We start from the raw sequence: 27319 nt of genomic DNA on the forward strand, positions 1-27319 counted from the left end.
AAAGTACAAAACTAACAGCCGAAAATGTAGGAGAATCCCTTTGAGACTTTTGTATAGGGAAAGACTTTTTGAGCTGGATCCCCCGAACACAAACCATATGGAAAAATAAGTTTTCTGTTCAACAAAGAGCACTGCAGAAACAGTTAAGATACGAACATCTCCCTGGGAAAAGACCCGTGCAATGTCTGACATTGACAAGCGATGAATATCCAAGAAACTCCCATAAATCAATAAGAAAATGACAAGCAACCCAGCCGGGCGTGGTGGCTCACGCCTGTAATCCCAGAACTTTGGGAGGCCGAGGTGGGTAGATCACTTGAGGGCAGGAGTTTGAGACCAGCCTGGGCAACACGGCAAGACCCTGTCTCTACAAAAATAAAAACAAACAAACAAACAAACAAACAAACAAAAAGTAGCCAGGTGTGGTGGCATATGCCTGTATTCCCAGCTGCTTAGGAGGCTGAGGTGAGAGAATCACTTGAGCCCAGGAGGTTGAGGTTCAGATCGCACCACCGCATTCCAGCCTAGGTAACAGGGCAAGAACCTGGAAAGAAAGAAAAGAAGAGAGGGGAAGGAAGGAAGGAAGGAAAGGAGGGAAGGAAGGAAGGGGAACAACTCAAAGAAAAATAAGAAAAGATAATTATTTCTTTTTTTTTTTTTTTTTACTTTTCTTTTAGATGATATTATTATTCTACTCACTAGACCACCAGGGAAGGCAAAGATTATGAAACCTAAATGGCTAACAAACATGTTAGAAGGTATTCAGTCTCACCGGTAATTGGTAATTTTATACCCATCTGATGGCAGGGCGACTCTGGAGACATGGGAACTGGCGGGAGCACAGGTGGGCACAGTCATCCGGACAGCATCTGGCTCAGTAGTAAAAACTAAGTTATACGTAAACCGAATGACCCAGCAATGCACCTCCTAGAGAAACTCGCCTGTGGATAGGTCTTAAAAACCTGAAAGCAGACTGCCTGGCAAAGGGGCTCACCACCGTAAGCCCAGAGCTTTCCGTGGCCAAGGCAGGAGAATCGTTCAAGCACAGGAGTTTGAGACCAGCCTGGGTAACCTAAAGAGATTCTGTCTCTACAAAAAATCTAAAAATGAACTGGGCATGGCGGCAGGTGCCTGTAGTCCCAGCTACTCGGGAGGCTGGGGTGAGAGGATTGCTTGAGCCTGGGAGGTCGGGGCCTCAGTGAGCCATGATGGCACCACTGCACTCAAACCTGGATAACAGAGCAAGACCCTGTTTCAAAAAATGTATGTATAAATAATTGTCATTAGTTCATGTTTATCAATAGTTTATTCAAATACTCCATTTCTTGGCAGGGTGCGGTGGCTCACGCCTGTAATCCCAGCACTTTGGGAGGCCGAGGCGGGCAGATCACGAGGTCAGGAGATCGAGACCATCCTGGCTAACACAGTGAAACCCCATCTCTACTAAAAAATACAAAAAATTAGCCGAGATCGCGCCACTGGACTCCAGCCTGGGTGACAGAGTGAGACTCCATCTCAAAAAAAAAAAAAAATTTAAAAATTAGCTGGGCATGGTGCCACACACCTGTAGTCACAGCAACTTGGGAGGCTAAGGAAGGAGGATGGCTTGAGCCAAGGAGGCTGAGGCTGCAGTGAGCTATGATTGCACCACTGCACTCCAGCCTGAGTGACAGAGCGAGACCCTGTCTCAACAAGAAGAAGAAGAAGAAGACGAAGAAGAAGAAGAAGAAGAAGAAGAAGAAGAAGAAGAAGAAGAAGAAGAAGAAGAAGAAGAAGAAGAAGAAGAAGAAATAATAGAGAGGAATTAAAAGTTATAAAGTTGATTTAATGAATATATATATTCATTATATACACACACACACACACACACACACACATATATATATACACACACACAATTCTGGTCCCAGAAATTGAAAGAAGATGCATTTTTCTCAAGCACGCATGAGATGTTTATAAGTCCATAATTAGTCCAATAAAATATATCTCAGTAAATATCAAAGGAAAGCAAGAACAAAAACACTCAAAGGCCAGTGAGGAGGTTACTGCAGTGGTTCAAGCCAGAGGTGACAGTAGCTCTTCTCTGTGTAAGGTTGGTGGAGGAGGGGAGGAGAGGTTGGATGCTGGATGCATTTTGAAGGCAGAGCTGACAAGTTCGCTAATGGTCTGGGTACACACTGCAATGGAAAAAAGAGCAGTCAAGGATGACAACGAGAGATCTGGCCTGAGTACCTGGAAGGATGGATTTGCATTTCAGAGATGGTGATGTCTGGGAGAGTGGGGAGGGAGCAGGTTGGGGTGGAAGAGACTAGAGATCCATTTTGGGGCATATTAAGAATGGGATGCCTGTTAGACCTACAAGTAGATAAGTCCAGTGGGGCCATCCGTGGGACATGAATCTGGAAGTCGGGGGGAGGTCTGGTCTGGAGATGAAAATTGAGAAATACCATTCTAGGCCAGGCACAGTGGCTCACACCTGTAATCCCAGTACTTTGGGAGGCCAAGGCAGGCGGATCACCTGAGGTCAGGAATTCGAGACCAGCCTGGCCAATATGGTGAAACCTCATTTCTACTAAAAATACAAAAATTAGCCAGGTGTGGTGGCATGTGCTTGTAATCCCAGCTACTCGGGAGGCTGAGACAGGAGAATCACTTGAACCCAAGAGGCGGAGGCTGCAATATGCCAAGAATTCACTATTGCACTCCAGCCTGGATGACAAGAGCAAGACTCCATCTCAAAAAAAAAAGAAATTACCATTCTATAAAGGATGGATATAATATCATTGCTATGGTTTGGGTGTTTTACACCTCCAAACCTCATGTTGAAATTTGCTTTTTTTTTTTTTCTTTTAATAGGGTCTTGCTCTGTTGCCCAGGCTGGTGTGCAGTGGCATGATCATGGCTCAGTGCAGCCTCAAACTCCTGGGCTCGAGTGATCCTCCCACCTCAGCCTCCCAAGTAGCTAGGACTACAGGCATGCACCACCACACTCAGCTAATTTTTGTATTTTTTGTAGAGATGAGGTCTCACTGTGTTGCCTAGGCTGGTCTCAAACTCCTAGGCTCAAGCTATCCATCCACCTTGGCCTCCCAAAGTGCTGGGATTACAGGCGTGAGCCACCACATCTGACATCATGTTGAAATTTGATCCTAGTGTTGGAGGTGGGGCCTAATGGGTGGTGTCTGGGTCTTGGGTCAGATCCCTTATGAATAGATTAATGTCTTCCCTGAATGGGAAGTGAGTGAGTTCTTACTCTATTAGCTCCCTCAAGAGCAGGGTTGTTAAACAGAGCCTGGCACCTCTCCCCCGTCGCTCTTGCTTTCTCTCTCATGATGTGATTTCTGCACACGCCAGCTCTCTTTCACCTTCCTCCATAATTGGAAGCAACACTTTGGGAGGCCAAGGTGGATGGATAGTTTGAGCCCAGCAGTCTGAGACCAGCCTAGGCAACACAGTGAGACCTCATCTCTACAAAAGAGGCCCTCACCAGATACAACTGCCCAGTTTTGAACCTCCTAGCCATCGGAATCATGAGCCAAATAAAACTTTTTTCTTTATAAATTACCCAGCCTCTGACCAAGCGAGGTGACTCACGCCTGTAATCCCAGCACTTTGGGAGGCCGAAGGGGGTGGATCACCTGCGGTCAGGAGTTCAAGACTAGCCTGGCCAACATGGTGAAACTCCGTCTCTACTAAAAATACAAAAATTAGCTGGACATGGTGGCACGTGCCTGTAATCCCAGCTACTCAGGAGGCTGAGGCAGGAGAATCACTTGAACCTGGGAGGTGGAGGTTGCAGTGAGCTGAGATCATGCCACTGCACTCCAGCCTGGGCTACAGAGTGAGACTCCATCTCAATCAATCAATCAATCACCCAGCCTCAGGTATTTTTTTTAATAGCAACACAAAATGGACTACGGCAGTCATTTAAAGCCGTAAGACCGGATGGGATCCCTCAAGGAGGGAGTGTGGACAGAGAGGAGGTCTAAACGCATGCTGATGTTTAGGGTCAGGATGGTAGAAGAACCCAGAGAAGGAATAGCCAGGGGGTAGGAAGAGAACCAACGGAGATGAGAGGCCAAGATACCAAGAGAAGAGAGTTTCAAGGAGGAAGCGACTTCCTCTGTCAAATACTACAGTTGAGTAAGAGGAGCACAGACAATGGGGAGGTGATTGATGACCTTGTCCAGAACAGCTTCCCTGGAGTGTTGAAAACAAGAGCCTGTCTGGAGTGGGTCCCAGAGAAAAAGGAGAACAAAGGCAGACATTGTTCACTGGTAGGGGCATGCAAGGTCAAGCAGGGAACTGGCTTTCTTGTGTTGTTGTTGTTGTTTTTTTAATTTTTATTTATTTTTGAGATGGAGTCTCACTCTGTCGCCCAGGCTGGAGTGCAGTGGAGCGATCTCGGCTCACTGCAATCTCTATCTCCCGGGCTCAAGCGATTCTCCTGCCTCAGCCTCCTGAGTAGCTGGGATTACAGGTGCCGGCCACCACGCCCAGCTAATTTTTGTATTTTTAGTAGAGATGGGGTTTCACCATTTTGGCCAGGCTGGTCTCGAACTCCTGACCTTGTGATCCCCTCACCTCGGCCTCCCAGAGTGCTGGGATTACAGGCGTGAGCCACTGCACCCGGCCTCTTGTGTTTTTAAGATGGGAAATAGGCTAGGCACTGTGTCTCTACTGTGACCCCAGCACTTTGAGAGGCCAAGGCGGGAGGATCACTTGAGGCCAGGAGTTTGAGACCAGCCTGGGCAACACAGTGAGACCCCCCCCCATCTCTACAAAAGATAAAATAGCCGGGTGCAGTGGCTCACTCCTGTAATCCCAGCACTTTGGACTTTGGGAGGCTGAGGCGAGTGGATTGCCTGAGCTCAGGAGTTTGAGATCAGCCTGGGGAACACGGTGAAACCCTGTCTTTACTAAAAATACAAAAAATTAGCTAGCTGTGGCAGCATGTGCCTGTAATCCCAGCTACTCGGGAGGCTGAAGTGAGAAAATCGCTTGAGCCTGGGAGTTCAAGCCTGCAGTGAGCTATGGTCACAGCACTGCACTGCAGCCTGGGTGACAGAGCAAGACCCTGTCTCTAAAAACAAAAACAAAAACAAGAACAAAAGATGGAAAATATGCTAAAAGGATCTAGTGGCAAAAGGAAATCTCAGTAACACTGACTCTGTCTTTACTTAAAATTGTGATATTATGTTTATTATGGATGTCTTGTAATTTTATTTTTTAAGTATTGCATTGAAATATTAATTATTAACATATCCACAAAAAATGTATGCTGATTAGTAACATTTTTGGTGCTTCTTTAGATGTTATATCTGAGACCCTGGTGGAAGGAGTAGTAAAAGGAGAAAATGGAATCTTTGAGGGAGTTTTCCTGGTATAAACAGGAACTGGAGGCCAGGCACTGTGGCTCATGCCTGTAATCCCAGCACTTTGGGAGGCTGAGATGGGCGGATCACCTGAGGTCAGGAGTTCAAGACCAGCCTGGCCAACATGGTGAAACCCCATCTCTGCTAAAAAATACAACAATTAGCCAAGTGTGGTGGCGGGCGCCTGTAATCCCAGCTACTCAGGAGGCTGAGGCAGGAGATGCATGAACCCAGGAGGTGGAAGTTGCAGTGAGCCGAGATCACGCCACTGCACTCCAGCCTGGGCGACAGAGCAAGACTCCGTCTCACAAAACAGAACAAACAGGAACTGAGGATGGGCCCCTGGGTCTGGCAGCCTAGAAGGGACACATAGGGCCTATGATGATTGGCAGGAGCAACCACAGGCTGACAGGGACCTCCCCAGGCTCTGCCCACTGGTCTATGCACCGTCCCTGCCCTTCTCCAGCTGCCTGGCACAGCTGAACATGCAGGGACATGGTATTGTCATGGGGTCTTATAAGAGCTGCTATGGACACTGATGGGGAGAGTGACCACGCAAGAACAGTCATTCTAGAATTAGTCCACAGAATTGGCTAAGGAGGAAAAGACAAGGAAGGCAGTAGTTGCCGTGGCAACATTATGGTTTACTGGATGAAGGAAAGGTGGTTTTTATGGGTGACTGGGTAATTGACTATCGCCCGGAGCCAGCAGGCAGCGTTAGCAGGGGACAGAGCTCCCTCTAGTGGGCCTGGATGGCAAAGATGGTTCAGAGTGGATGGTGCTGCGGGCACTGGGAGCACAGGTATGCCTAGCAATTGGGGAACAGGCAGAGGAAGAGAAGCCAGCAGGGCAGAGGGGAGGGGGCAGAGGAGGAGGGGGAAGAGGGGGCGTCGACCTAGAGAGGCGTGAGTTTTGAGAAGGAAGTGATCACAGCTTCAAAAGTCAGAGAGGTTTATAGGATAAAAGGTAAAAAGAGGCTACCTGGGCTGCCACACATGTTTCGCTATCACTACACATCTGATCCTGAAGCCTTGGCACTGGGAGAAGAGGGATGGGCCTAGGATTACAATTTTACTTTTTTTTCTTCTTTTCTTTTTTTTTCTTTTTTCTTCTTTTTTCTTTTTCTTTTCTTTTCTTTTCTTTTTTTCTTTTTTTTTTTTTTTTGATGTAGAATCTCACTCTGTCGCCCAGGATGGAGTGCAGTGGCACGATCTCAGCTCACTGCAACCTCCACCTCCCAGGTTCAAGCGATTTTCCTGCCTCAGCCTTCCAAGCAGCTGGATTACAGGCGCCCGCCACCAGGCCTGACTAATTTTTGTATTTTTGTAGAGACAGTGTTTCACCATCTTGGCCAGGCTGGTCTCAAACTCCTGACCTCAAGTAATCCACCTGCCTTGGCCTCTCAAAGTGCTGGATTACAGGCATGAGCCACCACGCCTGGCCTAATATTTTATATTTTAAAATTTGCTTCATTGGGCTATAATTTATATAAACTAAAAACCATCCATTTAAGTATATAGTTCAATGAGTTTTGACAAGTGTACATAGTCGAGTAATTGCCAACACAATCCTGATACAGTACATTATAAAAATAAAGAAATTGACATTGGTCCAATACCATTAACTAGACTACAGATCTTACTCAGATTGCAGTAGTTTTTACATGCACTCATGTGTGTGTGTGCATGTATGTGTGTGTGTGTGTCTGCATAGTTCTATGCAATTTTTAAAAAATATTTTTTATTTTTTTGGCTGGGTGCAGTGGCTCACGCCTGTAATCCCTGAACTTTGGGAGGCCAAGGCTGAGGTCAGGAGTTCAAGACCAGCCTGGCCAACATGGTGAAACTCCATCTCCACTAAAAATACAAAAATTAGCCAGGTGGGCGCCCGTAGTCCCAGCTACTCAAGAGGCTGAGGAAGGAGAATCTCTTGAACCCGGGAGGTGGAGGTTCCAGTGAGCCTAGATCGTGCCACTGTACTCCTATTTCTTTCTTTCTTTTTTTTTTTTTCCTGCTTTCTGGATGATTTCCTTAATTAAAACCTTCCAATTACTATGGCTTCAGGCCAGGTGCAGTGGCTCACACCTGTAATCTCAGCACTTTGGGAGGCCGAGGTGGGCGGATCATGAGGTCAGGAAATCAAGACCAGCCTGGCCAATATGGTGAAACCCCATCTCTACTAAAAATACAAAAATTGGCCAGGCGTGGTGGCACGCGCCTGTATTCCCAGCTACTCGGGAGGCTGGGGCCGAAGAATCTCTTGAACCCAGGACGCAGAGGTTGCAGTGAGCTAAGATTGAGCCACTGCATTCCAGCCTAGGCGACAGAGCGAGACCCTCTCAAACAAACAAAAAACCGTGATGGCAGATTTGAAAGACACAATAGAAGGGTTGGAAGGTTTTAATTAAGGAAGTCATCCAGAAAGCAGGAAAAAAAAAAAAGCCGGGCGCAGTGGCTCATGCCTGTAATCCCAGCACTTTGGAAGGTCGAGGCGGGCGGGTCACCTGAGATCGGGAGTTCGAGACCAGCCTGACCAACATGGAGAAACCCCGTCTCTACTAAAAATACAAAATCAGCTGGGCATGGTGGCACATACCTGTAATCCCAGCTACTCGGGAGGCTGAGGCAGGAGAATTGCTTGAACCTGGGAGGCGGAGGTTGCGGTGAGCCGAGATCACGCCATTGCACTCCAGCCTGGGCAACAAGAGCGAAACTCCATCTCAAAAAAAAAAAAAAAAAAAAAAAGAAACAGGAAAAAGAAAAGAGAAGAGAAAATATAAAATTAGAGGAATCACTCAGGAGGCGCAACTCTGAATGGTGAGAGCTCAGAGGAAGAAGCAGAGAAAATGGAGGGGAGAGAATTTCCACAAAATCCTTGAGAGAATTTCCCACACCTCAAGGCACCTGTTGGCAGATTTTTTTTTTTTTGAGATGGAGTCTCACTGTGTTGCCCAGGCTAGAGTGCAATGAATGCAATGGCACAATCTCACCTCACAGAAACCTCCGCCTTCCCCACTCAAGGGATTCTCCTGCCTCAGCCTCCAGAGTAGCTGGGATTACAGACGCCCCGCCACCACACCCGGCTAATTTTGTATTTTAGTAGAGATGAGGTTTCACCATGTTGGCCAGGCTGGTCTCGAACTCCTGACCTCAAGTGATCCACCCACCTCAGCCTCCCAAAGTGCTGAGATTACAGGCGTGAGCCACTGTGCCCAGCCATGTTGGCAGATTTAAAAGAGCCACTACATGCCCAGCAGGATGTACTCACTGTGAAATTCTGAACACTGGGATCAAAGAACATTCTGAAAGCTTCCAAAGGGTACTGGATCCTTGAGAGCTCATTGCTTAGCACTTTGGGAGGCTGACACGGGAGGACCACCTGAAGCCAGGAGTTCAAGACCACACTGCCCAACATAGCGAGACCCTGTTTCAATAAGAAATAATAAATAAAAATTATTTAAAAAAGAATTCTATGGGCTGGTTGTTAAATAGTGGTGGTGTGCATGATTTTTGTTTGTTTGTTTGTTTGTTTTTTGAGACGGAGTCTCGCTCTGTCGCCCAGGCTGGAGTGCAGTGGCGCGATCTCGGCTCACTGCAAGCTCCGCCTCCTGGGTTCATGGCATTCTCCTGCCTCAGCCTCCTGAGTGGCTGTGACTACAGGCATCCGCCACCACGCCCAGCTAATTTTTTCGTCTTTTTTAGTAGAGACGGGGTTTCACTGTGTTAGCCAGGATGGTCTTGATCCCCTGACCTCGTGATCCACCCGCCTCGGCCTCCCAAAGTGCTGGGATTACAGCTGTGAGCCACTGTGCCCGGCCCAGGGTTTTTTTTTTTTTAAGAGGAGGTGACAGTTTACTAGCATATTACTAAATCGTTAAGTAAATTACGGCAGATAATTTATGAAGCCATTAATTCTAAAAACTACAAAGAATATGTAAAATCCTAGAAAATATCTTGTCAGCTGGGCGTGGTGGCTCATGCCTGCAATCCTAGTACTTTGGGAGGATGAGGCAGGCAGATCACCAGAGCTCAGCAGTTTGAGACCAGCCTGGCCAACACAGTGAAAAAAAAATTTTAATATCTCTACAAAAAAATACAAAAATTAGCTGGGCATGGTGGCATGTGCCTGTAGTCCCAGCTACCCGGGAGGCTGAGGCAGGAGAATTGTTTGAGCCTGGGAGGAGGAGGTTGCAGTGAGCTGAGATTGAGCCACTGCACTCCAGTTCGGGCAACAGAGCAAGACCTTGTCAAAAAAAAAAAAAAGAAAGAAAAAGAAAAAGAAAAAAAAGAAAAGAAAATATTTTGTCAAATGACAACATTACAACAATTCTAGTTATAGATCTAGTGGGCTTTTGCCATTCATGAAGGGAGCCACCTGCCATTCTAAGAAATATGCTGAGATCTCACACTGTAACTGCAGAACAGTGAGTTTGTAAGGAAGGAACAAGGAAACAGAAGAGTAGAAAAACAAGCTAATTGGTTAACCTTAGGTTACTTCATGTTGCTTTTGTGGAAGGTTAAAGCAGTGGGGACTTCCTTATTATGTTCACTCAAGTAGATTGGAATCCCTTGTTTTCAAGAAAAACTGGTCTGTTTGGGAATCTGTCTGCTTCCTCAAACTCTCGGTTTGATGATGTGGCATTTAGCATGAGTGACTCCATTTTGGTTTGGTCTGGTTGGCAGGAGTCTAATGTAGGAGTTCAGTCCACACAATAGCCTCCCATAATTTTGTTTGTTTGTTGTTGTTGTTGTTGTTATTATTATTATTTAAGACAGAGTCTCACTCTGTTGCCCAGGCTGGAGTGCAGTGGTGCGATCTTGACTCACTGCAACCTCTGCCTCCTGGGTTCAAGTGATTCTCCTGTCTCAACCTCCCAAGTAGCTGGGATTATAGGAGCATGCTACCACGCCTGGCTAATTTTTGTATTTCTAGCAGAGACGAGGTTTTGCCATGTTGGCCAGGGTGGTCTCGAACTCCTGACCTCAGGTGATCTGCCCACCTCAGCCTCCCAAAGTGCTGGAATTACAGGTGTGAGCCACTGCCTGGCCTGTTTGTTTTTAGAGATGAGATCTCTGTATGTTGCTGTGGGATGCAGAGGACTAGAGAGACCAGTATGGGTGAATACAGGAGGATATTTATTTTAAGGTGTGTGCTGGCTCAGTGGATTCACATCCAAAAAGCTGAGCCTTAAACAAAGACTGAGCGGGATTATTATAAGCAAACTTATAGAAGCAAAACAAAGACAGTTAATCATATAATAACAGGTCATATAATCTATAGCATAACTGATGGCTTGGCATAACTCATGGCCTTGCATAGCTGGTGGCCGTATAGCTGCATTGAAAGAAAAAACAAGAACTGGCTAAATACAGACATTTGTCCTTCTTTTTTTTTTTTTTTTCCTTCACCTTTGCTTCGGAGGGGGACTGTCTGGAACCTATTCCTTTGGTTTTGACTTCTCGAGCAGCGTTATCTTATAACTGTCCTTGAAGTGAGTTTGTTAGGCAGAGGAAAATTTGTTCTTCTTTTCTTTTTAACCCTTATCTTCCCACATTCTGGGCCTTGGCTTTTACTTTTCTTGGAGTGAATGAATGCAGTACTTATTATTACTATTATTTTTAAATTTCTGCCTCAATGTTAACCCAGGCTGGTCTTGAACTCTGGGACTCAAGCGATCCTCCCACCTCAGCCTCCCAAGTAGCTGGAACTATAGGCACATTATTTTTTTTAATGACTTGTGACACAGCCCCGGGAGATCCTGAGAACATGTGCCCTCTTTCTAATTTTTTATTTTTTCCGTAGAGACGGGGGTGGTCTCAGTATGTTGCCCAGGCTGGTCTCAAACTCCTGAACTCAAGCAATCCTCCCACCTTGGCCTCCCAAAGTGCTGGGATTACAAGCATGGGCCACCACACCTGGCCTCATAATTTTGTTTACCAGTTGGTATAGGGCTAAGTTTTATAGACAAAATTATATGTACCCTGTAAATATAATTATGTAAAATACGGACAGAGACCAAAGGACATACACACAGGAAAGAAATAGTTAATTGTGTTACAATGATGATATGAGTGTTTTAAAGTATCCACATTATAATTTAGGATTAAAAACCTCTGCTGGGGGCCGGGCCTGGTAGCTCATGCCTATAATCCCAGGACTAGCCTAGGCAACATAGAAAGACCCCATCTCTGCAAACAAACAAACAAAAAACAAACAAACAAATGTCTGTGCTGGCCACTCCCTCTAATACCTATAGGACAAAGTCCAAACTTCCCTGCTGGAAGCCTTATAATGGCCTTCCTTGACCATTATATTAAGACCTTACGAGATTCACAACAGGGAATTTAATTTTAATTTTAATTTTTTTTTTTTGTAGAGAGAGTCTTGATCTGTCACCCAGGCTGGAGTGCAGTGGCATAGATCATGGCACATGCAGCCTTGAAGTCCTGGGCTCAAGCGAACCTCCTGCTTCAGCCTCCTGAATAGCTGGGACTTCAGGTGTGAGCCATCAGGTAGCTAATATATATATTTTTTGAGATGGAGTCTCACTCTGTTGCCCAGGCTGGAGTGCAATGGTGCGATCTAGGCTCGCTGCAACCTCTGCCTCCCAGGTTTAAGCAGTTCTCCTGCCTCAGCCTACCGAGTAGCTAGGAAGGCTAGGTTTTGTTTTGTTTTGTTTTGTTTTTTAGTAGAGACGAGGTTTTGCCATGTTGGCCAGGCTGGTCTCGAACTCCTGGCCTCAAGTGATTCTCCCAAAGTGCTGAGATTACAGGTGTGAGCCACTGCACCTGGCCTGTTTTTCTGTCTTCACCTTGGTTGCCCGTCTGGTTGGTAGCATTCAACAGTGCTGACCCCCTCGTCCTTCTAGAAGTGCAGCATTTCCTGCCTTGGCCTCTGTGACCCTCTCTCTTTTGGATTTCCACCTACCTCTCTGGCATCTATGTCTCAGCCCCTCCACCTTTCACCTGGACCCTGAGGTCAGGCTCCCTTCTGTCCTCTCGGCTGCTGCCAGAGTGAGCTCTTACAGCTTCAGTTTCCTACTTAAATTCCGCCATGTGGATAAAAAGGTACAAACATGCATAGGTATGTCATGAATTAATTACGGTAAAATGATAATTGTAGAACAGAAGTGGTGGAGATATGGGTGTTCACCGCAATTCTTTCAACTTCTTTGTGCTTTGAATTTTTCATAAAATGAGGCTGTGCATGTTGGCTCACGCCTGTAATCCCAGCACTTTGGGAGGCCAAGGTGGGTGGATCACTTGAGGTCAGAAGTTCGAGACCAGCCTGGCCAACATAGTGAAACCCCATCTCTACTAAAAATACAAAAATTAGCTGGGCGTGGCAGTGAGTGCCCGTAATCCCAGCTACTTTGGAGGCTGAGGCAGGAGGATCGCTTGAACCCGGGAAGCGGAGGTTGCTGTGAGCTAAGATCACACCACTGCACTCCAGCCTGGGCGACAGAGCGAGGCTTTGTCTCAAAATAAAAATTATTTTTTCATGAAATGTTGAGGGAAATCTCCTGCAATGATTCTTTTGTCTTTTTTGATAAAATGCAGGCTTCTCTGCCAACACTCTCGTATCCTCTCCACACACATCATCCTAAATGGGGATGTACCCTTGCTGCTCCCAGTACCTGGAACAGGAACATTCTTCTCAGTGTTCTCCAGCCCTCTATGCCCTCTTACTGTTTTATTTTTTAGACAGGGTCTTGCTCTGTCATCCAGGCTGGAGTGCAGTGTCACCATCATGGCTCACTGCAGCCTCGACCTCCCAGGTTCAAGTGATTCTCCTGCCTCAGTCTCCTGAGTATCTGGGATTACAGGTATGCGCTACCATGCACGGCTAGCGAATTTTTTATGGAGACTGGGTCTCACCATATTGCCCAAGCTGGTCTTGAACTCCTGGGCTGAAGCAATCCTCCCGCCTTCTTTAAACTCATCTCATTGATGCCTTCTCCAGGAAGCCTGTGCTGTTCCCTCAGCAAGAGGCTTCTTACCTGATCCCCCACAGCCTCTCCTACAGCTCAGCAACGGTTTATGGAATGAAAGGCCTCTCTTGAAGCTTTGCAGGCACCTGCCTGCCTGAGGTGTTAGCAAATCTGCAGACCCGCCCTGAGGCCATGTGTCTAGTTACCCTGGTCTCTGAATCACAGATGAGCTCTCATTTCTTCCCACAAATAAACCCTGTGACCCTCCACCCTCTACTCAGAGAACCCGCCCTCAGGTAGTTCCCTGTTTGTGACATACACACACTTAGCCCTGAGGCTGGACTGACAGGCCGACCTGGCTGGTGGACTCCAGCCCAAGCCTGCCAGCTGCCTGCCGGGGTGGGGGCCTTGGCGGGAGAGGACGGGGCCGGGTGGGGAGGAAGGCGGGGCCTGAGGCTGTGCGAGGCGAGTCGGTGTGTCCCTGGCTGGGACGGAAGTTGCACCACAAGTACAATTAGTTTCAGTTTTGTTTCTTTTCCAGGCACCCAGCAACGGCGGCCTCCAGGCCTCAGGCCCCCTCACCATCCTAGAGGTCAAGATCAGCTCTGGCTAGGTAAGGGGTGGGGGGCGGCACAGCTATAGGAAGGACCGAGCGGAGGGAGTAGGGGGAGGGGAGTGGAGAGAGAGCGCGGGAGGAGGAGGAAGGGAAGGAAAGGGAGGGCGTGAAGAGGCACCCGGAAGGCAGGAGGAGAGGGCAGGAGGGAAACTGCACTCGCCTCCCTCCCGCTCCGTGGCCACAGGTCCCCGCAAGAAAGACCCCGTCCCACTCTCTGAGGTCTCCTCCCAGCTCCAGAAAAGGGGACATTCCACCTAGTCTGCCCAACAAGTAGGTCTCAGCCACTGTGCCAGGAGCTCGGGACTCCCTCCCTCCAGAGGTTTCTGGAATGCATTCAGCAGGAAAAGCTAAAAGAACAGGACTCCAGGAGATAAGCCAAGGCCAAGTCTATCAGAGGGTGAGCCAGCAGCGGGAAGGGGACCAGCCCTTCCCCTAGCGTTTTTTCTGCCCGCTCCAGAATCCGCTTTAGAAACTGTTAAATGCAGAAAGTGGGGCCTCCACCACCCGCGATGCTGCCCCAGGTCTAGCAGAAGACAGGTGTAAGGCCAGGCGGGTGCGGTGGCTCATGCCTGTAATCCTAATGCTTTGGGAAGGCCGAGACGGGAGGATAGCCTGAGGCCAGGAGTTGGAGACCAGCCTGGGCAACATAGCAAGACCCCATCTCTACAAAAAGTGATAATTTTTAAAAAATGGGCTGGCTGGGCCCCTGGGCATGGTGGCTCACGCCTATAATCCCAGCACTTTGGGAGACCGAGGAGGGCGGATCACCTGAGGTCAGGAGTTCAAGACCAGCCTGGCCAATAGGGCCAAACTCCATTTCTACTAAACATACAAAAATTAGCCGGGTGTGATGGTGCGCACCTGTAATCACAGCTACTCGGGAGGCTGAGGCAGGAGAATCACTTGAACCTGGCAGGTGGAGGTGGCAGTGAGCCAAGATCGCACCACTGCACTCCAGCCTGGGCAACAGAGTGAGACTCTGTCTCAAAAAAAAAAAAAAAAAAAAAAAAGGCTGGGCATGGTGGCACATGCCTGTACTCCCAACTACTCAAAAGACTTGAGTCTAGGAGTTTGAGGCTGCAGTGAACTACGATCACGCCACTGCACTCCAGCCTGGGTGACAGAGGGTGACCCTATTGCTAAAAACTAAAATAAAATAAAAAGAAGGCAGGTGTATGGGGCTTGGAGGATTAAAGCCCCCTAAGCTACTGCAAGATCCTACCCCAACTGGCAGGACCTAGGCATCTCTGCCCACTGGGATCCCCGTCTGTGTCCTTACTGCCTGCTCCTCGCACCCTGGCACCCTATACAGCAGGACCCCAGTACCTGTGCACACAGGAGGGCTTCCACCATGTTTGCCACAAGGCCTGTGGACTGGGGACACTGAGGATTCGATTATTAGCTAAGGCCAGGGACTCCTGGTCTTGTCAGTTCTCACAGGTCTGACCCAACAAGTAGCACTGACATTTTTACGTTTGCTGGATGTACACACGGAAGTGGAGGAGGAGGAGGAGAAGGAGGAGGGCAGCTCCTTAGCTCAAGAGCAAGTGGCCCAAGGCCTCAGAAGACTAGAAGGAAGTTCCTGGCCATTCAGGTGAGACCTCAGGTTCCTTCCCGGCCATTTGGGTCAGCCCCTAGCCCTGGGGATCCGTGGGGCTTGAGGACGGGCGGTAGAAGCTAGAGGGTGAGCTGGTGAAGGTGCCTTCTCAACTCTGATCCTGACGCCTCTGCCTGCAGCATGGTTTCCCACGGGTCCTCGCCCTCCCTCCTGGAGGCCCTGAGCAGCGACTTCCTGGCCTGTAAAATCTGCCTGGAGCAGCTGCGGGCACCCAAGACACTGCCCTGCCTGCATACCTACTGCCAAGACTGCCTGGCACAGCTGGCGGATGGCGGCCGCGTCCGCTGCCCCGAGTGCCGCGAGACAGTGCCTGTGCCGCCCGAGGGTGTGGCCTCCTTCAAGACCAACTTCTTCGTCAATGGGCTGCTGGACCTGGTGAAGGCCCGGGCCTGTGGAGACCTGCGTGCCGGGAAGCCAGCCTGTGCCCTGTGTCCCCTGGTGGGTGGCACCAGCACCGGGGGGCCGGCCACGGCCCGGTGCCTGGACTGTGCCGATGACTTGTGCCAGGCCTGTGCCGACGGGCACCGCTGCACCCGCCAGACCCACACCCACCGCGTGGTGGACCTGGTGGGCTACAGGGCCGGGTGGTATGATGAGGAGGCCCGGGAGCGCCAAGCGGCCCAGTGTCCCCAGCACCCCGGGGAGGCACTGCGCTTCCTGTGCCAGCCCTGCTCACAGTTGCTGTGCAGAGAGTGCCGCCTAGACCCCCACCTGGACCACCCCTGCCTGCCTCTGGCTGAAGCTGTGCGTGCCCGGAGGCCGGGCCTGGAGGGACTGCTGGCCGGTGTGGACAATAACCTGGTGGAGCTGGAGGCAGCGCGGAGGGTGGAGAAGGAGGCGCTAGCCCGGCTGCGGGAGCAGGCGGCCCGGGTGGGGACTCAGGTGGAGGAGGCGGCTGAGGGCGTCCTCCGGGCCCTGCTGGCCCAGAAGCAGGAGGTGCTGGGGCAGCTACGAGCCCACGTGGAGGCTGCCGAAGAAGCTGCTCGGGAGAGGCTGGCGGAGCTTGAGGGCCGGGAGCAGGTGGCCAGGGCCGCAGCCGCCTTCGCCCGCCGGGTACTCAGCCTGGGGCGAGAGGCCGAGATCCTCTCCCTGGAAGGGGCGATCGCACAGCGGCTCAGGCAGCTGCAGGGCTGCCCCTGGGCACCAGGCCCGGCCCCCTGCCTGCTCCCACAGCTGGAGCTCCATCCTGGGCTCCTGGACAAGAACTGCCACCTTCTTCGGCTGTCCTTTGAGGAGCAGCAGCCCCAGAAGGATGGTGGGAAAGACGGAGCTGGTACCCAGGGAGGTGAGGAGAGCCAGAGCCGGAGGGAGGATGAGCCGAAGACTGAGAGACAGGGTGGAGTCCAGCCCCAGGCTGGAGATGGAGCCCAGACCCCAAAAGAGGAAAAAGCCCAGACAACCCGAGAAGAGGGAGCCCAGACCTTGGAGGAGGACAGGGCCCAGACACCCCACGAGGATGGAGGACCCCAGCCCCACAGGGGTGGCAGACCCAACAAGAAGAAAAAGTTCAAAGGCAGGCTCAAGTCAATTTCCCGGGAGCCCAGCCCAGCCCTGGGGCCGAATCTGGACGGCTCTGGCCTCCTCCCCAGACCCATCTTTTACTGCAGTTTCCCCACGCGGATGCCTGGAGACAAGCGGTCCCCCCGGATCACCGGGCTCTGTCCCTTCGGTCCCCGGGAGATCCTGGTGGCGGATGAGCAGAACCGGGCACTGAAACGCTTCTCCCTCAACGGCGACTACAAGGGCACCGTGCCGGTCCCTGAGGGCTGCTCCCCTTGCAGCGTGGCCGCCCTGCAGAGCGCGGTGGCCTTCTCCGCTAGCGCACGGCTCTATCTCATCAACCCCAACGGCGAAGTGCAGTGGCGCAGGGCCCTGAGCCTCTCCCAGGCCAGCCACGCGGTGGCGGCACTGCCTAGCGGGGACCGCGTGGCTGTCAGCGTGGCGGGCCACGTGGAGGTGTACAATATGGAAGGCAGCCTGGCCACCCGGTTCATTCCTGGAGGCAAGGCCAGCCGGGGCCTGCGGGCGCTGGTGTTTCTGACCACCAGCCCCCAGGGGCATTTCGTGGGGTCGGACTGGCAGCAGAATAGTGTGGTAATCTGTGATGGGCTGGGCCAGGTGGTTGGGGAGTACAAGGGGCCAGGCCTGCATGGCTGCCAGCCGGGCTCCGTGTCTGTGGATAAGAAGGGCTACATCTTTCTGACCCTTCGAGAAGTCAACAAGGTGGTGATCCTGGACCCGAAGGGGTCCCTCCTTGGAGACTTCCTGACAGCCTACCACGGCCTGGAAAAGCCCCGGGTTACCACCATGGTGGATGGCAGGTACCTGGTCGTGTCCCTCAGTAACGGGACCATCCACATCTTTCGGGTCCGTTCTCCGGACAGTTAAAGGGGCTAGGACTAGGGTGAGAGGGAGTGGGGAGGGAGAGGGCAGGAAGGAGGCAGAGCTGTCCGTGGGAGGTGGAGGCCGAGGACATTTTCCTGAAGGGCAGGGGTTGGCAACTTTTCAACATGGAGTGCCAAACTGCTAACCCGTCTTCTAGTGTGTGAGAATAGGGACCAAGGTGGTGGCGTGACCTTAACTCTCAGAAGCAGAGGAGGCAGGTGGGTGGAGGGGGATGCTGGGAGTTCACCTGCCTCTTGCTTTTTGTGGGTGGCTGCTGCCACCACCGCCGCTGCTATATAGTTTAGGTTTCTGAGGTTTGTGAGCCTGTCCTGCTTTGCATTCTTCAAAACCATTCCTGATAGAGTAGCCGAGGGAGAGTCTTGGGGCCAAGAAGGGCCCAGGGTGGGTCAGGCGTGTGCACTGTGGAACAGAGCTGAGACCCCGGCCCCCCTTGGACTGGCACAGGGTCCTACAGAGTCAGAGGAGGCCTGAGATTTCGAATGGGCAGTGAATGGCCTCTTCTGCCAGCCACAGGCAGGATGCTCCTTGATCACGGCATCCCCCGGCGGTAGTACAGGGTGAGCTTGCAGGAGGGTCTGCAAGTGCAGACAGCAGCTGGGGCCAAAGAGGTGTTAGGTTCAAAGGCTGCGAAGAGAATAGGCTACTGGAAAACCAAACCCAACAGAATTCACGTCCAAAAATCCACATTCTCCATCGCTTCTCAGCCTTTTGGCTAAGATTAAGTATTAAAAAAAAACCAGGCTCTGCCAGGCGCAGTGGCTCATGCCTATAATCCCGGCACTTTGGGAGTCTGTGGCAGGAGGATTGCTTGAGGCCAGGAGTTTGAGACCAGCCTGGGCAACATAGCGAGACCCCATCTCTACAAAAGATTAAAAATTAGCTGCGTGTAGTAGCATATGCCTTTCAACGTAGCTACTCAGGAGGCTGAGGTGGGAGGATCCCTTGAGCCGAGGAGTTTGAGTCTGCAGTGAGCTATGATCGCACCACTGCATTCCAGACCCCATCTCGAAAAAAAAAAAAAAAAAAAAAAACAGAAACAACAGAAAAAGCAGGTTATCCATCACTTCTCAGCTAAGATCAAGTGTTAAAATAAATAAATAAATAAATAAATAAATAAATAAATAAATACCAAGTTATGAGTGTCAGAGCAGGGGAGCCCTCCACGCAGCCACGGAGCCAGTCTGAGGGAAGAGGTACATAGGATAGAAAAATCTCTAGGCTCCAACGCTTCTGCTTCGGTGTCTTTCCATTTCCCAGGGTCTATGTGTTGCCTTCTCTTCATTTTCCAGCAAAATTCCTTTTGAGATATGTTGGCCTTCACTCGGCTGAACTAGGGGGTGAAGGAAGGTTGTCCTCTGTGGGCCACTATTGCTGGGGAAACAGCTAAACCCTGCAGGCCAAGTGGAACTTGGAGGTGCCAAGAAAACCTAGAAGGTGCAATGGGGCTGCGACGGATAGAGGTGTCAAACCAGAAGGGAGGAACCCGTCGGAGGTGGGCTGTGACCACCGGACCTTTTCATAAGTGGTGGCAGTGGTAGAATTGAGGGGGCAAGTAGGCTTGGAGAATGTTTTTAGCCAGGGGCTGTTGAGAGATGGCAGAAGGGGGTCTTAATGTGGGGACTGTGGACAGTGGGGCATTCGTGGGAACCAGAGGGATTTTGGACAAGTCCAGATGGAATGTGCAGGGCATAGGTAGAGGGAAAAGAAAATCCCTTTCTGGGAAAACCATTTCTTGTTTATTGAAACAATGCAGGACATCATCAAAGTCCGGGTGGACACATTCCATTATCTACAAATTACAAAGGTAGGCACAGCAAAGAATAATGAAGATTATAAGAAAACCAAGCGCCAGGCACGGTGACTCAAGCCTGTAATCCCAGCACTCTGGGAGGCTGGGGTGGGTGGATCACTCAAGGTCAGGAGTTCGAGACCAGCCTGGCCAACATGGAGAAACCCCATCTCTACTAAAAATACAAAAATTAGCTAGGCGTGGGAGCGGGCGTCTGTAATCCCAGCTACTTGGGAGGCTGAGGCAGGAGAATCATTTGAACCCAGGAGGTGGAAGTTGCAGTGAGCTCAGATCGCACCATTGCACTCCAGCCTGGGTAACAAGAATGAAACTCCATCTCAAAAAAAAAGAAAAAGAAAAGAAAGAAAACCAAGGTCCCTCTCCCTCTCCCTCTCCCCACGGTCTCCCTCTGCCTCTCTTTCCATGGTCACGGTCTCCCTCTGATGCCGAGCCGAAGCTGGACTGTACTGCTGCCATCTCGGCTCACTGCAACCTCCCTGCCTGATTCTCCTGCCTCAGCCTGCCGAGTGCCTGCGATTGCAGGCGCGCGCCGCCACGCCTGACTGGTTTTCGTATTTTTTTGGTGGAGACGGGGTTTCACTGTGTTGGCCGGGCTGGTCTCCAGCTCCTAACCGCGAGTGATCCGCCAGCCTCGGCCTCCGGAGGTGCCGGGATTGCAGACGGAGTCTCGTTCACTCGGTGCTCAATGTTGCCCAGGCTGGAGTGCAGTGTCGTGATCTCGGCTAGCTACAACCTCCACCTCCCAGCCGCCCGCCTTGGCCTCCCAAAGTGCCGAGATTACAGCCTCTGCCCGGCCGCCACCCCCTCTGGGAAGTGCGGAGTGTCTCTGCCTGGCCGCCCATTGTCTGGGATGTGAGGAGCCCCTCTGCCCGGCTGCCCAGTCTGGGAAGTGAGGAGCGCCTCTTCCTGGCCGCCATCCCATCTAGGAAGTGAGGAGTGTCTCTGCCCGGCTGCCCATCATCTGAGATGTGGGGAGCACCTCAGCCCCGCCGCCCCGTCTGGGATGTGAGGAGCGCCTCTGCCCGGCCGCGACCCAGTCTGGGAGGTGAGGAGCGTCTCTGCCCAGCCGCCCCGTCTGAGAAGTGAGGAGCCCCTCCGCCTGGCAGCCGCCCCGTCTGAGAAGTGAGGAGCCCCTCCGCCCGGCAGCCGCCCCGTCCGGGAGGGAGGTGGGGGGTCAGCCCCCTCCCGGCCAGCCGCGCCGTCCGGGAGGGAGGTGGGGGGTCAGCCCCCGCCCGGCCAGCCGCGCCTTCCGGGAGGGAGGTGGGGGATCAGTCCCCGCCCGGCCAGCCGCCCCGCCCGGGAGCGAGGTGGGGGGCGCCTCCGCCCGGCCGCTGTCCCGTCCGGGAGGTGGGGGGTCGCCTCTGCCCGGCCGCCCCGTCTGGGAGGTGAGGAGCCCCTCTGCCCGGCCACCACCCCGTCTGGGAGGTGTACCCAACAGCTCATTGAGAACGGGCCATGATGACGATGGCGGTTTTGTGGAATAGAAAAGGGGGAAAGGTGGGGAAAAGATAGAGAAATCAGATTGTTGCCGTGTCTGTGTAGAAAGAAGTAGACATGGGAGACTTCATTTTGTTCTGTACTAAGAAAAATTCTTCTGCCTTGGGATGCTGTTAATCTAAGACCTTACCCCCAACCCCGTGCTCTCTGAAATATGTGCTGTGTCCACTCAGGGTTAAATGGATTAAGGGCGGTGCAAGATGTGCTTTGTTAAACAGATGCTTGAAGGCAGCATGCTCCTTAAGAGTCATCACCACTCCCTAATCTCAAGTACCCAGGGACACAAACACTGCGGAAGGCCGCAGGGTCGTCTGCCTAGGAAAACCAGAGACCTTTGTTCACTTGTTTATCTGCTGACCTTCCCTCCACTATTGTCCTATGACCCTGCCAAATCCCCCTCTGCGAGAAACACCCAAGAATGATCAATAAAAAATTAAAAAAAAAAAAAAAAAAAGAAAACCAAGAAGATGGGAAAACCATGCAGAATTGATTTGACGAGGAAAGCCTTGGTCTCTAATACATGCAATGACTAGAACAGTATTTGGTCAAAGAACCACATAAGCTCTGTACCCTGGAGGAAATGTATGCAGGCAAGGACTAGTAAAATAAAAAATAATAATAATTAAAAAAAAAAAAAAGAAAGGCTGGACGCGGTGGCTCACACCTGTAATCCCAGCACTTTGGGAGGCTGAGGTGGGTGGATCACCTGAGGTCAGGAGTTTGAGACCAGCCTGGCCACTACGGTGAAACCCCATCTCTACTAAAAATACAAAAATTACCCGGGTGTGGTGGCGCATGCCTGTAATCCCAGCTACTGGGGAGTCTGAGGCAGGAGACTCGCTTGAACCTGGGAGGCAGAGGGTGCAGCGAGCCGAGTTCACCCCATTGCACTCCAGCCTGGGTGTCACAGTGAGACTCTGTCTCAAAAAAATAATAAATAAATAATTAAATCCACTTGCAGTGGTCAAAAATAAATGTTAAATAAATGGGTGAGAAATCTTGCGGAGAAATAGACTCCTGGCACTATAAAAATGATCCTGGAGAATAATTTGGCTAGACTTTGCAAGAATGACAAAAATGATTATAAGAATCAGTTGTCTCACTTTGGGGAATACATTCTGGGAAAATAATGTAAGAGAAAAAATATTTGCATACAGACATTTGAGGCTGCTCTGTATATTACAGGCAAGAACTGGAAACTGTTCGGCTGCAGGGTGACAGCTAACTAGATTGTGGTTTATTAGGGGAATGAGCCTTTCTTTGTGTATGACAACTATGAAAACTATTGAGAAGAAATAGTTACGTGATACAGTCATAATCCTCAAAAACGGAGAATCAGGAATTATGATCAAATAGTGATAGTAACAAGGAAAACATCTGTCTAAATAATTACTGAGTAGAAATAGGTTCGGAATTTGTAAATAGTCATTAATTTGGGAGATTGGGGTTTTTTTTGTTTTGTTTTTTGTTTGTTTTTCATTATTTTGTGCTATTATTCATACGTGTACATTTCTACTTCAGTTTTTATTATCCATTACATAACATACATGCTTGATTATTTGCTTCAAGGAAATACACCTTTATAAGTAATACTCAATAACTACTGGGTTTGAGAATGAAGGTGTCAGAACGAATGAGATTGTCCTATGAAAGAAGAGGCAGGAGCCAGGGAGGAGGATCCCACCCGGCCGGGGCTCAGCCAGGAGGCAGGGCCATTGGGGCAGGGTGGCAGTCCAAGGAACCGCTCTGGGAAGGTTTGCAAAGGTCGGGGTCCCCCCTGCCAGGTGATCGAATTATCGTGGAGTGTCTGGAAGGCGGGGGAAGTTTTGTTGAGTTCACCAAATAACTCAGACCAACTGGAAACCAAGTGGAGTTTCTACAGGACCAACTAGAATAGGGATCAGCTACATGGGGGCGGGGGGAGGGGGGCAGGGAACGGTGTCTGTCTTCATTGCAGCTCTGTCTGCAGAGCCAGCACTGTGATACCTCATAGTAGGTGCTCAGTGAATGTCTGTGAAGTGAATTACTATCTAGACAAGGATGAGACTGGTATGACTCTCCAAAGCTTTCCCACCTCCAAAACCTCGGCTTGTGGGGAATCTCCAGTAGGGGGCACTGTGGACACGGTTCGCATCTGCCTCCCAAGGCTGGGCTCCGCGTCAAAAAAAAAAAAAAAAAATGAGACTGAGCCAGGTGCAGTGGTCACTCCTGTTATCTCAGCACTTTGCGTGGCCAAGGCGGGAGGATGTCTTGAGGCCAGGAGTTCAAGACTAGGCTGGGCAACATAGCAAGACCCCATCTCTACAAAAAAATTTTTAAATTAGCCAGAGGTGGTGGCATGCACCCGTAGTCCCAGCTGCTCGGGAGGCTGAGGCAGAAGATTGCTCGAGCCCAGGAGTTCAAGGCTGCAGTGAGCTCTGATTGTGCCACTGCACTCCAGCCTGAGTGACAGAGCAAAACCTGGTTTCCTAAGGGGGGGATAAAAGAGGGAGAGATGAGATCGGGGTGTCCCGCTTCTGTGCATGTGGAGGGGGTAACTGGGAACCGTGTACTGTAGGGGATCGCACACCTTGGGGTGGAAACAGCAGCTCTCCGGAGTTGCATGGGAGCCATGGGCAGTGGTCCTGGCTGGTGAAATGATTCTAGCCACGTGGCCCACCCAGGGGGCAAAACAATAGAAACCTTCAGAAATGAAACGTCACCTGGCTGCAAGAAGATAGTCCCACAGGCGCCCTAGAGATGGGGATGCCAAGTGGCTTCTCGGGAAGCTGTAAGAATCCACAGGGCATTGTAAGATGGAGGGAAATATTAAGTTTTCTTCGTAAAGAGGTGAGGGGGGCGAGAGCAGCAAAGGACACTGGAAAATGAGAAGCATGGATGGGAAGTGTTGCATTGAGCATAATTTGGAGGTAAAATCTCCAACACCGTAACTGAGTGGCCTGGGGACCTGATAGAAAGCCCTGCTCAGGACTAAGGCAGAGTTCCCAGTTATATCGCAGATACAAAGAGACCAGGAACACGCTTGTAATCACAGCACTTAGGGAGGCTGAGGCGGGTGGATGACCTGAGGTCAGGAGTTCGAGACCAGCCTAGCCAACATGGTGAAACCCCCATCTCTACTAAAAATACAAAAATTAGCCAGGCGTGGTGGCACATGCCTGTAATCCCAGCTACTCAGGAGGCTGAGGTGGGAGAATCGCTTGAGCCCGGGAGGCAGGGGTTGCAGCGAGCTGAGATCGTACCACTGCACTCCAGCCTGGGCAACAGAGTGAGACCCTGTCTCAAAAAGAAAAAAAAAAAAGAGAGAAATCAGGAACATCATGAAAGATACAGCAAAATGTTTTACCCCAGCCCACTGCACCACACCTGGGATTGTGACAATTAACTTGATAAATTGTTCCTTTTCCTGTTCGGAACTGACTAGGTTGTGCGTGGATGGACCAGTGAAAAGAAAATCCTGTTTGGGTAGGGAAGAGGGAAGTAGAAAACCTCTTTCGTATTCTTGGTGTCAAGAAATGGGAAGAGAATGAGGGAGCAGAGACCTGGGTTGAGTGTTGGCTCTGCACTAAACAGCTGTGTGATCTTGGTCTAGTGCCTTAACCTCTCTGAGCCTCAGTTTGTACATCAGTAACATTGGGATAATGACATCCACATGCCCACTTCACAGAGCTGCTGTGAGGACTGGATGAGAAATGTAGAGAAGTATTTCGGACACCATAAAGCTCAAATACAAGGTGTTGGTTAGGAAAAGTTTCAACTGACTTGTACCCACCTGATACCCCTCCATCAGCATAAGCGTGTATGAGGATGTTAGGTACATGTGTTGTGAGTGAAAGCTCTGGAACACCCGAGTAGAGCTTTCTGCAAATCAGCTTCTCCTTCAGAGGAGACCATTTTGTTTTGCTTTCCAGCAGTTACTTGAAGAAGCCTTATCTGAAGTCACAACAGTGACTTCAGGAATAGAAGGGACCAATGGCCAGCTTGCTGAAATGTAATGCCATTCTTAAAAGCCAGCTAAGAATCAGACCGTATTAGTTAAGGACCCATAAGAGTAGACATTTAGAAAAAGTGAAAAATGGCAAGAGTGGCCCAATCTTTTGAGAGTTTAGAGAAAATATCATTTGGAAAGGGAGTAGCTCTCCTTCTATTTTAGCCTTATTATTACGGTATCTATAAAGCAATGCCATATTCTAAATCTGCAGAAATAAAATTCTAAGGGGCGAAAGTCCAAGGCAGAAGTCAAAAGTTTTGCAAGGAAACCGATGAGGTTGCTGACCTGAGCTGGGCAGGGTTGAACAGGCGAGTGCCAAGATCAAGGTCTCTGATTGTCTCTCCTTGAAAGGTAAGCAGAGAACTAGGGCTATCCCATAAATTAAGTGGGAGATTGGAAAGGGGTGCGGACTTCTGTATTGGGGAGAAGGTCTTGGATGAACTGGGGCAGAGAACTGCCAGAGAGAGTACCTAGGAATACGTTGTTAGCAGGAGAAAGACCAAGTTCAGATGCAGACTTGGGAAAGTAGGTAACTTGACCAAAGGTAGCAAAATTAGACTACCCAACTGGATTGTGAATGCAGTTTATGAAATGGATCAGGACAGGAGCAAAAATAGATTTTCTAGAAACTGCAGACTCCTGTGATTGGAGCAGTATACAAAGTACAGCAACATCAGACTAGATCTCACCTGAGGTGCTGGGTGAGAAATCTTAGGGACCAGATGGAAGAGGGCCTGTGTATAAAGACATTAGGAAGGAGGTTTGGGAGGGCAGCCTGACTTGTCTCCAGAGAAAGTTAGAACTGGTTGACTTAGCAACCAAGGGACACTGGGTCAAAGACGAGGAATCAGGACGTCGGTGCCTAGTGACTGAGCGCCAGCCCAGCCCATTTCTCTACATTGCCATGGGCTAAACCCAGTGTGCTGTAAACTCTTCAGTTCCTTTGGTTATGGATTTTGTATCTTTTCTGTGTTTCTTAATAAAGTTCTTTTGAAAAATGGGAACCTTTCTCAGATGGGAATTTTGTATCTTTCCTCTGTTTCTTAATAAAGTTCTTTTGAAAAATTGGAACCTTTTCTCAGAAGGGTTTATGGATACGGGGAACCTTTTTTTTTTTTTTTGAGACGGAGTTTCGCTCTTGTCGTCCAGGCTGGAGTGCAGTGGCACGATCTTGGCTCACTACAACCTCCACCTCCCAGGTTCAAGCAATTCTCCTGCCTCAGCCTCTTGAGTAGCTGGGATTATAGGCACAAGCCAACACGCCTGGCTAATTTTTGTACTTTTGGTAGAGACGGGGTTTCACCATGTTGACCAGGCTGGTCTAGAACTCCTGACCTCAAGTGATCCACCCGCCTCAGCCTCCCAAAGTGCTGGGATTACAGGCGTGAGCCACTGCACCCGGCTGGATACAGGGAACCTTTAACAACCAGGCCCAGATAGTGAAGGAAATCAGGTCATCAAAGCCACCCAATGGTAGGTAGCTCCCAGGGTGGCCACACAGATTCCTTGGGGACATTGCAGAAGCATGCACCTTCTGGGTGGGAACCAGTAGGTGATCTGGCCCATGCTGGCGCATGCAGGGCTCCACCTGGGCACACGCAGGTGTGATATGCAGGAAGTACATGAGGGACCCAGGTCATGGTGGCTGTGCCCACCACGTGGGGCTTTGTTTTGGGGTTTGTGGAAGCCAAACAAGCACCTGTGGGTACCTTCCCTTTTCTATTTTTTCTATTTATTTTTTTGAGACGGAGTCTCTCTCTGTCATCCAGGCTGGAGTGCAGTGGCGTAATCTCGGTTCACTGCAACCTCCACCTCCCGGGTTCAAGTGATTCTCCTGCCTCAGCCTCCCGAGTAGCTGAGATTACAGGCACCCACCACCATCCCCTGCTAATTTTTGTATTTTTAGTAGAGACAAGATTTCACCATATTAGCCAAGCTGGTCTCCAGCTCCTGACCTTGTGATCTGCCTGCCTTGTCCTCCCAAAGTGCTGGGATTACAGGCGTGAGCCACCGTACCTAGCCCCCTTTTTTTATTTTTTATTTTGTTTTTTGAGACAGGGTCTCACTTTGTCGCCC

At 50.2% G+C, this 27319-nt stretch overlaps 1 protein-coding gene across 2 annotated transcripts, besides 4 other annotated features; it reads left to right on the top strand.

Annotated features, from left to right (window-relative positions):
* Window positions 12185–12685: an enhancer, noted in NCBI's record as "H3K27ac hESC enhancer chr7:100727119-100727619 (GRCh37/hg19 assembly coordinates)". NCBI's record gives its function as "activates a minimal SCP1, AML or CMV promoter by ChIP-STARR-seq in naive H9 embryonic stem cells {active_cell/tissue: H9 hESC(naive)}" and the evidence as "EXISTENCE:reporter gene assay evidence [ECO:0000049][PMID:30033119]".
* Window positions 13389–13438: an enhancer, noted in NCBI's record as "active region_26398". NCBI's record gives its function as "activates an Ori minimal core promoter by ATAC-STARR-seq in GM12878 lymphoblastoid cells {active_cell/tissue: GM12878}" and the evidence as "EXISTENCE:reporter gene assay evidence [ECO:0000049][PMID:35858748]".
* TRIM56 (tripartite motif containing 56) lies at window positions 13828–26314 on the top strand. Of its 2 annotated transcripts, NM_030961.3 has the most exons (3): window positions 13828–13918; window positions 15353–15515; window positions 15659–26314. In NM_030961.3, exon 3 carries the CDS (start codon window positions 15660–15662, stop codon window positions 17925–17927), a length of 2268 nt encoding a protein of 755 aa, NP_112223.1. In that variant the 5' UTR covers window positions 13828–13918; window positions 15353–15515; window position 15659; the 3' UTR covers window positions 17928–26314. The 2 variants fall into 2 exon arrangements, with proteins under 2 accessions (NP_112223.1, XP_011514891.1); XM_011516589.4 differs by lacking the exon at window positions 15353–15515.
* Window positions 15520–16160: an enhancer, noted in NCBI's record as "H3K27ac-H3K4me1 hESC enhancer chr7:100730454-100731094 (GRCh37/hg19 assembly coordinates)". NCBI's record gives its function as "activates a minimal SCP1, AML or CMV promoter by ChIP-STARR-seq in naive H9 embryonic stem cells {active_cell/tissue: H9 hESC(naive)}" and the evidence as "EXISTENCE:reporter gene assay evidence [ECO:0000049][PMID:30033119]".
* Window positions 16161–16800: an enhancer, noted in NCBI's record as "H3K27ac-H3K4me1 hESC enhancer chr7:100731095-100731734 (GRCh37/hg19 assembly coordinates)". NCBI's record gives its function as "activates a minimal SCP1, AML or CMV promoter by ChIP-STARR-seq in naive H9 embryonic stem cells {active_cell/tissue: H9 hESC(naive)}" and the evidence as "EXISTENCE:reporter gene assay evidence [ECO:0000049][PMID:30033119]".
* Window positions 26315–27319: the final 1005 nt, after the last annotated feature.

The sequence above is a fragment of the Homo sapiens genome, chromosome 7 (genome assembly GCF_000001405.40).
Source record: "Homo sapiens chromosome 7, GRCh38.p14 Primary Assembly".
NCBI classification, from domain to species: domain Eukaryota; kingdom Metazoa; phylum Chordata; class Mammalia; order Primates; family Hominidae; genus Homo; species Homo sapiens.